Genomic DNA, 10,550 nt, shown 5'->3' on the forward strand with positions numbered 1-10,550 from the left:
GGTGGTGTGCACCTGTAGTCCCAGCTACTTGGGAGGCTGAGGCAGTAGAATCACTTGAATCCAGGAGGCAGAGGTTGCAGTGAGCTGAGATTGCACCATTGCACTCCAGCCTGGGTGACAGAGTAAGAAAGACTCCATCTCAAAAAAAAAAAAAAAAAAAAAGAAAGGAGATATACAGCTTAATAAAAAATTCAGCAAGCCCTGAGTCACTGTGTGCAGTGTGCTGGGAAGACACCCACTACCAGGGCATTCCTCTTCCAGTGCTTGGTCTGCCCAGCTCTGCATCCACCTTAAATGTAGAGAATCCTGGGGGCTCTGTCTGAGTCTTGCATTCCATTTCCTTCCCTGTAGAGGTGAGACAGGTCATTACATCTCCCTGTGGGAAGTGTTGGATGGGGTGAGCACAGAGCATGCTAGACCATAGTGGCAGGAGCCCAGGGAGGGGAGGAGAGGGGAGGCTTCCTAGAGGAGCTGGATCTTGAGAGATGAACAGAAGTTGGCCAGGCGGGGAAGGAGGATAGGGAGTGGGCATCCCAGGCCATGGCAGAAGGACTGCTTGAGCCCAGGAGTTCCAAGACAAGCCTGGGCAACATAGCAAGACCCCAGTTCTACAAAAAATTAAAAACTAGGCAGGTGTGGTGATGAGACCCCGTCTCTACAAAAAATCAAAAAGTTAGGCATGGTGGCACATGCCTATGGCGACCAGCTACTCTGGAGACTGAGGATGGCTTGAGCCCAGGTCAAGGCTGCAGTGAGCTATGATCGCACCGCTGCACTCCAGCCTGGGGGACAGTGAGACCCTGTCTGAAAAAAAAAATTAAATTAAAAAAAATCTACTTGGGAAATACTTATAATAGTAAAAGCACGATCTAAAATACTATACATGATCATAAATATGTGCAAAATGGCCTTTTGAAAAGATGGAGGGAATACATCAAAATGTTACGGAAATGGTTTTTAAATTTTTTGTTTGGAGTTTTTTTTTTTTTTTTTGTAGAGAAAGGGGACTCTTCAGATGGTGCTTTCAGCTTGCCAAAATTCTATAATAATAGGAAATGGTAACTTTATTTTTTGAACTTGCTCTGTTAAATCAATTAAATGCATATGCTACAATATTGTTTTCATAATTTTTTGGCAAAATTTTCCCCATAGATGGAGCCATGCTGAGCTTTAGCTGCTTTTAAGCAGCTCCTGTCTTAATTATCACAAATTCTAACTTAGTAGAGTTAAAAGTAAAGCCTTCACTCTGATGAACCAGTCACGCTGCCTGGTAAAATTTTAGATCTCAGAAGCCATTTACCCTTGCAATAAAAATTAGTGACATTCTGGCCAGGCGTGATGGCTCACACCTGTAATCCCAGCACTTTGGGAGGCCAAGGCAGGCAGATCACCTGAGGTCGGGAGTTCGAGAGTAGCCTGACCAACATGGAGAAACCCTGTTTCTACTAAAAATACAAAATTAGCCGGGCATGGTGGCACATGCCTGTAATCCCAGCTACTTGGGAGGTTGAGTCAGGAGAATCGCTTCAACCCAGGAGGTGGAGATTGCAGAGAGCCGAGATCGCACCATTGCACTCCAGCCTGGGCAACAAGAGTGAAACTCTGTCTCAAAAAAAAAAAAAAAGAACAACTAGAGCAGTGGTCCCTAAGTGAAGCTTCCTCTGTATTTACATCCTCTCCTTATCACTTGCATCACCATCTGCCTCCTGTCAGATCATCGGTCACATCAGATTCTTATAGGGGCACAAACCCTATTGTGAACTGTGCATGTGAGGGATCTAGGTTGGGTGCTCCTTATGAGAATCTGATGCCTGATGATCTGTCACTGTCTCCCATCACCCTCAGATGAGACCATCTAGTTGCGGGAAAACAAGCTCAGGACCCCCACAGATTCTACCTTATAGTGAGTTGTGTAATTATCTCATTATATATTACAATGTAGTAATAGAAGTAAAGTACACAATAAATGTAATATGCTTGAATCATCCTGAAACCATCTCCAAAGTACACAATAAATGTAATATGCTTGAATCATCCTGAAACCATCTCCACCACCACCGTCTGTGGAAAAATTGCTTTCCATGAAACTGGTCCATGGTGCCAAAAAGGTCAAGGACCACAAAAAAGGTTGAGGACCACAAAAAAAAGAAGTGCATCAGAGGCCAGGCACGGTGGCTCACGCCTGTAATCCCAGCCCTTTGGAAGGCCTAGGCAGGCAGATGGCTTGAGTCCAGGAGTTCAAAACCAGCATGAGCAACACAACGAAACCCCATCTCTACTAAAAATACAAAAAATTAGCCAGGTGTGGTAGCATGCACCTGTAGTCCCAGCTACTCGGGAGGCTGAGGTGGAAGAATCCCCTGAGCTCAGGACGTCGAGGCTGCAGTGAGCCATGATCATACCACTGTACTCCAGCCTGGGCGACAAAGTGAGACCTTTCTAAAAAAAAAAAAGAAAAAGAAAAAAAAAAGCATCAGCATATAATGTGATAAGAATCAATGTTAGAAATATGAATGGGAGGCCAGGCATGGTAGCTCATGCCTGTAATCCCAGCACTTTGAGAGGCCGAGGCAGGCGGATCACCTGAGATCAGGAGTTCAAGACCAGCCTAACCAATGTGGCGAAATCCTGTCTCTACTAAAAATACAAAAATTAGCTGGGTGTGGTGGTGGGCACCTGTAGTCCCAACTACTCAGGAGGCTGAGGCAGGAGAATTGCTTGAAACCAGGAGGCAGAGGTTGCAGTGAACTGCAATTGCACCAGTGCACTCCAGCCTGGGTGACAGAGCGAGACTCCATCTCAACAACAACAACAACGACAACAACAAATATATATACACATATATATATATATGTGTGTGTATATATATGTATATATATGAATGGGATACAGAGATTGCTCAGAGAGACTGGGTGATTGTAGGGCATCTGCAAAGATTTCCCAAAGGTGGTGAAGGCTGCACTGGGGTTTGAAAGACATGGAAGGAGCTTTCCAGAGGGAGAAAGGGGAAAGGGCGGAGGGCGGGGTGGGGGGTGAGTGGGCTTTTTAGGCAAAGAGACCCGCCTGTAAGAAGAGCCTGGTGTGATAAGAGAATGTTGAGAAATCCCATTTAGTTGAGGTTAAGCTCTGGTGAGAGATAGGAAGTTGGACACGGGTAGCTAACGTGGACCTATGCCTAGCACAGCACCTGACGTGGCAGAGGCAGTCAATAAATATCTGCTGATTAATTGTCAGACATTGGTTGGCTTTTGGGATACTGACAACACAGTGTCTTGTCAGCTAAGAATCAGATCCTGGATGGTGGGGGTTTCATCAAAGCCATTCTACCATACACAGTCCTGCCAAGCCTCTCCAGGCAAGAGCCCTTTATCTCACCATACTATTGCAACCACAAAAAAGGGAATAGTACAAGAAAAGATAGGCCATAATAGATGACTGATGCCAGAGGAATGGGATAGTAATGTGATAGGAACTCAAAGGATAGAAAAAGCGAACACTGTAGTAGAGTGGTCAAGGAAGTTTTCACAAAGGGGTAGGACTTGAGCTTGGCTTTGAACAATAAGGGAAAAAAGTGAAGGGAAAACCCACAGAAGGGGAGAAATTAGCTGCAAACTATCTATCTGATAAGGGATTAATAACCAAAAGATAGGGTGGGCGCAGTGGCTTACGCCTATATTCCCAGCACTTTGGGAGGCTGAGGTGGGCAGATCACGAGGTCAGGAGTTCAAGACCAGCCTGGCCAACATGGTGGAAACCTGTCTCTACTAAAATACAAAGCAAAACCAAAATGAAAACCACACAAATTTCATGTTTTTGTTTGGGATTATTGCCTGACTCTCATTCCACCTCTGAGAGATCCCTCCACCACTCCAGAAACACCAGCACAGCCAGGTGGTCATTGCACCTCTGAGAAACCCTCCTCCACTCCAGAGACACCAGCACAGTCAGGTGGTCGTCCCACCTCTGAGAGATCCTCCACCACTCCAGAAACACCAGCACAGCCAGGTGGTCATTGCACCTCTGAGAAACCCTCCACTCCAGAGACACCAGCACAGTCAGGTGGTCGTCCCACCTCTGAGACACCCCTCCCTCAGCCAGGTGGTGGTTCCTTCTCAGAATTTCAGCCCCACTTTCTATTTCTTCAATCATTAAGGTTCTGAGAACCCCAAACTCTTACCTTGGTTCCTCCAGCCTTGGGGTTGGCACAGTTTTAGATCTGTGGCATCTTTTTGTCAAATTCCCTGTATTCAAGGGAGTGGTAAGAGAGGGCATTCTTGCCTTGTGGTGGTTTGTAAAGGGAATGCTTCCAGCTTTTGCCCATTTAGTATAATCTTGGCTATGGGTTTGTCATAAATAGCTCTTATTATTTTATGTTCCATCAATACCTAGTTTATTGAGAGTTTTTAACATGAAGTGATGTTCAATTTTATCAAAGGCTTTTTCTACATCTATTGAGATAATCATGTGGTTTTTGTCATTGATTCTGTTTATGTGATGGATTACATTTATTGATTTACATATGTTGAACCAACCTTGCATCCAAGGGATGAAGCCAACTTGATCATAGTGAATAAACTTTTTAATGTGCTACTGGATTCAGTTTGCCAGTATTTTATTGAGGATTTTCACATCAATGTTCATCAGGGATATTGGCTTGAAGTTTTCTTTTTTTGTTGTGTCTCTGCCAGGTTTGGGTATCAGGATGATGCTGGCCTCACAAGATGAGTTAGGGAGGAGTCCCTCCTTTTCAATTGTTTGGAATAGTTACAGGATAAATGGTACCAGCTCCTCTTTGTACCTCTGGTAGAATTTGGCTGTGAATCCGTCTGGTCCTAGGCTTTTTTTGATTGGTAGGCTATTAATTACTGCCTTAATTTCAGAACTTGTTATTAGTGTATTCAGGGATTCGATTTCTTCCTGATTTAGTCTTGGGAGGGTGTTTGTTTCCAGGAATTTATTCATTTCTTCTAGATTTTCTAGTTTATTTGCGTAGAGGTGTTTACAGTACTTTCTGAGAGTAGTTTGTATTTCTGTGGGATCAATGGTGATATTTCCTTCATCATTTTTTATTGTGTCAATTTGGTTATTCTGTCTTTTCTTCCTTATTTGTCTAGCTAGCAGACTATCTATTTTGTTAATTTTTTCAAAAAAACAGCTCCTGGATTCATTGATTTTTTGAAGGGATTTTCATGGTCACTACATGGTGACATTTTAGCAATTTTAGAATAAATCCATAGACTAAATCACAGCATGCATATATCATTTATATCTTAATGGCTCGTTTAATTATTTTATTTTATTTTACTTTTTTTAGAGACAGGGTCTTGCTCTGTTGCCCAGGTTGATAGGCAGTGGCAATTATAAGTCACTATAGCCTTGGACTCCTGGGCTCAAGTGATCCTTCTGTCTCAGCCTCTTGGGTAGTTGAGACTACAGGTGTACACCACCACACCCTGCTAAATTTTTAGTTTTTTGTAGAGACAGGGTCATACTGTGTTGCCCAGGCTAGTCTTAAACTCCTGGCCTCAAGTGATCCTCCCCCTTTGACCTCTCAAAGCACCGGGATTATAGGCTTGAGCCACCATGCCTAGCCTTAACTGCTCATTTAAACCTGAACAAATCTTCATTAAGCATACTAGTAATTTTTTTTCTTTTACTGAGCTCTTTCGCCCAGGCTGGAGTGCAGTGGCTCCATCTCAGCTCACTGCAACCTCTGCCTCCCAGGTTCAAGCAATTATCCTGCCTCAGTCTCCCAAAAAGCTGAGACTTAAAATGAATGGTTGGGAAAGAATAAGGCTAAGCAGTATGGATTGAGATGCAGGGTGGGGCCCATAGACATCTTTGAGGGTCTGCACTGTCCCCTAAGATATGCACTATCCCCATGCCAGAGGGAAGAGGGACTGTAACATTAAATAGCAAATAAATAGCAATGTGACAAGGAGAGAGGAAGAGAAAAGGATAAAAGAGAAAAAGGAGAGAGGAGAAGTGGGGAGACTTACCTGAGGAACAACAAAATAATTTATGCTTTAATGTCACGTTTTGCCTGCTTTTTGGACAGAAGGGCTCACATTTTCACTTTGCACTTGCCCCTCTGAGGGCAGTGTCTCTCCATACTCCCTTCTCCTCCAGGCAGGAGTTGCTCCTCCCCCTTCTCCCTTGGGCCTGAGGACAGGGCTGAGAGGGTGGTGCTAGCTCTGCCTCCCCAGCCCTAGAGATTGTTCTGGACCTGCTACATTTCACCCCCCACCCCCACCTTTGTAAGTAGTCCTTTGATTAAACTCTCCTCATATCCTCCTAATTTGAGTGTCACATGTTTTTACTGCTTGAATGCAGAGCAATACATCCTCCCACCTCCACCCCCAAAGACCTGATTGTTGTCCTGTATTTCATATGAAGTTGAGCTGCATAATTTAGAGCTCTGCGTCGGTTAATTTGGCACATAAAACAACGTTGTATATTGACTGATTGATGAAAATACTGTGACCAGAGACTTGCAGGAACCCAAACCTGTATGTCCTCTAGGAGCAATGGTTCAGTATTTGCTAATTCACTGTTTGTGGTCACTTTATAACCAGAATAATGAGAATCAAATGTACTTCAACTTTTGAGTTTCAGTACACTTCTAAAAATCTAATTCCCTGCTCACCAGGGCTTTATTTTTCTAGTCTTTTTTCCCATGCTGAGGTAATGGATTTTGAAAATACCAGGTTTGAAGACTACAGCCACTGTAAGCCCCCCAAAAACCCTGGTGAATTGTTTGTAATTAGCAGTGCAGATCAGTGGCTCCCCTACTCTACCAGGAATGGAAACCACCTGTGGACTTGTTTCAAAATACAGTGCAGGGGACCCAACACCAGACCTAAGTCAGCATTTTCAGAGACAGGATTTGGGCATCTAAATTTTAAACAAGTGCTGCAAATGATTCTACCTGGCAGCCAGGTTTGGGAAACGCTGATGTAACTCTTACTTATTATGTATCCATATGTTTATGTTGTTTGTTTCTTTTTGCTCGTCTCCTTTTCTGCCTCCTGACAGCCCCATTATGGTGTCATTGGCTTTATTGTATGTCTCCTATTATTTTACCCCTCTCTCTCCAGTTTCTAGAAAATTTCTCCACAAACTGAGAGCTGCAGAATTGATGACTCAGAGTGAACCGAGGAGATCACTACTGTGCACAAGTTTGCCTCCAAACAACTGGGTGATGCCTCCAAACAGGTCAGATGTTTTTCACCATATTTTAGAGACAGGAACATGTAGCTATTGGGTACCTGATGTGTGACCATGAAAATCCCAGGAATTTTAGGGGATATCTTAAAGTAACTCTCAATATTAATGCTGCTAAATTTAAGGAGTCAAATTGGAAAGAGTTGTACATTTTAAAAATATATTATGGATAATTTAAAATATATACAAAAGTAGAAAGAAAAATATAATAAACTCTCATGCCACTGTCATACAGCTTCACACTGATTAACTCATAGTCAACCATGTTCCATTTGTATGCCCCCTCACTCCTCATCATTTTATGCATAAACATCTCTAAAAAGATATGATCATCTCTAAAAAGTAAGACTTCTTTATAAAATGTAATAACAACATCATTATCACATCTAAAAATGTAATAATCCTTTAAAATTATCAAATATCCAGTTAGTTCAATTTTCTCTGTCACATAATTTTTTTAACAATTTTTTTGTTCAAACTAGGATCCAAATTGAAATTGGCCAATTGGCCAATATGTCTTTTAAGTCTCTTTTGAGGCTGGCTCATGCTTGTAATCCAAGCACTTTGGGAGGCTGAGGCAGGAGGATTACTTGAGGCTAGGAATTCAAGACGAGCCTGGGCAACAGAGTGAAACTCCGTCTCTACAAAAAAAATTTAAAAAACTAGCCGGGCATGGTGGCACATGCCTGTAGTCCCAGCTACTCTGGAGGCTGAGGTGCGAGGATGGCTTGAGCCTAGGAGTTCGAAGTTGCAGTGAGCTATGACTGGACCATTGCACTCCATTCTGGGTGACAGAGTGAGACCCTGTCTCAAAAAATTTTTTAAAAATTTCTTTTGATCTATAGATTTCTCTCCACTCCCCTTTGTTTGTTTGTTTGTTTGTTGAAAATGGATGGTTTGTCCTCTAGAGTTTTCTGCAATCTGGATTTTATTAATTACATCCCTCTGGTGTCATTTAGCACATTCCTTGGTTGCCTGTATTCCTCAAAACTCAGCATTAGAACTGGAGACCTGGACAGATTCAAGTTCTAATTTTTGGCAAAAGTGTGTCTTAGGTGTTAGTGTGTTCTCGCATTGGGAGAAAAAGACATTTTTCTTTTTTGTGTGATGTTAGTAGTCACTGATGGTCATTGCCCATATCCACTAACTCATCAGGGATTGCTTGTGGTTATATTTTAATTGTACATTTCTTTTTCATTTCTCAGCTGGAATACTTCAATAAAGAGAAGCTTTCCATTATCTACAGTTTGGTTACTCTGAATATAGTTTGACTCAGAAAAGCAGTATCCCACCTTTCAAGATGCTTGAATCTTCCCCTCTGCTTACCAGTTTTCTAAATAATGAAGTGATTTTCTAAGCATTCTCTAGTTATATATCTGTATCATTAGAAATGCACAGACTTTTAGCATACTTAATATGTTTCAATGTTTTGCCATTATTATCCTTATTGGTGGAGAAATGGCCTTATTCTGGCTAGCAGAAGCTCTTTAATTTTGTCCCTGAGCCCTTCGGACATGCTGCTAGCCATCTCAGACAGCCTCCTTGGTTCCTGGTATGACAAGATGTTTTAGGTTTATTTGTGTATTTCCTTCTCCAGACCTGGAATCATCCATTTCTCCAAGGATCTCTGCTTCTTCTTGTAAAATAGGCTATTTAAGGACTACAATCTGAGCATTAAGGGTGAGTCCTTTTCCTCATTCTTCCAAAGATAACTTTGAAAGAAGTTTTTAGTATGTCCTGCCTTTGGTATTTTAATATAAGCAAATATGTTTATATATTCATATTCTATCTTAGATGAATAGCAATATGCTATACACATTTATCTCTACCTTGCTTTTTCACTGAATATATCCTGGCCATCACTTCATAGTATCCAGAGACAGACTCCATTTCTTTTTATGGCTGAACAGTACTCCATTATGTGAAGGTTCCACTTTTTCCCACCAGTCCCCTCTTAATGGAAACCATTCCACACCACTTACAGAAAGTCTCATTCAACAAACAGTTTTTGAAAACCTTCTGTTTTCTGGACACTATTTTAGGTGCTTGGGAAATACCTGTGCACAAATTAAAGATCTCCACCCTTGTGGAGATTGTGTTCTATCAGGAGTACATAGATAGTTAAGAATAAATGGAAGATATAAAGAATCATATCGTGTGGCAGAAGGTGATAAGGGCAATGCAAGGAAGTAAAAGATCAAGGGGGAGGGGAGCAGGAGGGCAGTGGTGGGCTGAAGAGTTCAGTAGGGTGGGGATCAAGGTCTGCCTCCCTAAGAAGGTACGATCTGAGCAAACACTTGGGTGTCTGGGGAATGCATCATCCAGGCTAAGGGAATAGCTAGAGCAAAGGCCCTGGGGAATGTTTGAGGAGCATAAAGGAAGCCATTGAGGCTGGAGTGGAGTGGAGTGAGTGAGGGGAAGGGGAAGGAGATGGAGCCAAAGACAGCAGGGCTCCTGCGTGCCCTGCCTTGTGAAGGCATTGGAGAAGGTTTGGCCTCTATTTTCAACCACCACTGTTGACTTTGCCCCTACCTCTTGATTGTCACATTGCAGTGTTTTAAAAAGAATTCCACAAAATCCTGTGGAATCTAGGGGATAACTGGCAAATAGAATTGGGTGGAATTCTCAGGCTGAATATGGACTTTGTTCATTTTCCCAGCTGAAACTACCTAGTAGCTGCAGAGTAGAGTAGAGATGCCTCTGTGCTAGTAGGTCTGGGTTTGCAATCCCAGTGCTGCCATTTTCAAGCTGTGTGACCTGAGGCAGTCTGATGCTCCTCTCTGAACCTGCATTTCCTAAGCTCTAATGTGGATGTTGTAATCAGTACTTCTTATGGGCTGAATTGTATCTCCTCAAAATTCATGTGTTGAAGTCCTAACCCCCAGTATCACAGAATATGGTAGGGTCTTTAAAGAGGTAATCCAAGTAAAATGAGGTCCTTAGAGCAGGCCCTGATCCAATAGGACTGTCCTTATTAGAAGAGGAAACTTGGACACAGATACACACAGAGGGAGCACCGTGTGAAGACACAGAGAGGAGATGGCCAGCTACCAGCCAAGCAGAGAGCCCTTACTGTAAACCAACCCTGCCGCATCCTGATCTCAGAATTTTGGCTTCCAGAACTGTAAGGAAACACATTTCTACTGTTTAAGCCACTTGGCTGGGAGTACTTGGTTATGGCAGCCTGAGCAGACTAAACCAGCACCTCAAAGAGTTGTTATAGGGTATGCTTAGTGGTAACTGGTTCCTAAAGGCCTTGCTTTCTAAGGCTGACTCCTCACCCTGCAAGGATGCATTCTCCCCACTGGCAGATATGCAACCAGGAA

The 10,550-nt window shown here is 42.7% G+C and overlaps 1 long non-coding RNA gene across 1 annotated transcript in view; it reads left to right on the top strand.

The window, feature by feature from the left end:
- The window catches only part of LIMS3-LOC440895 (LIMS3-LOC440895 readthrough), a 70,143-nt gene that overhangs the window by 27,559 nt on the left and 32,034 nt on the right, over window positions 1-10,550 (top strand). Inside the window, exons 10-12 of the long non-coding RNA NR_027145.2 lie at window positions 7,098-7,215; window positions 8,822-8,904; window positions 10,188-10,348. This is a non-coding gene — a long non-coding RNA (LIMS3-LOC440895 readthrough). The remainder of the gene's footprint in view (window positions 1-7,097; window positions 7,216-8,821; window positions 8,905-10,187; window positions 10,349-10,550) is intronic.

The sequence above is a fragment of the Homo sapiens genome, chromosome 2, assembly GCF_000001405.40.
Source record: "Homo sapiens chromosome 2, GRCh38.p14 Primary Assembly".
Taxonomy (NCBI): domain Eukaryota; kingdom Metazoa; phylum Chordata; class Mammalia; order Primates; family Hominidae; genus Homo; species Homo sapiens.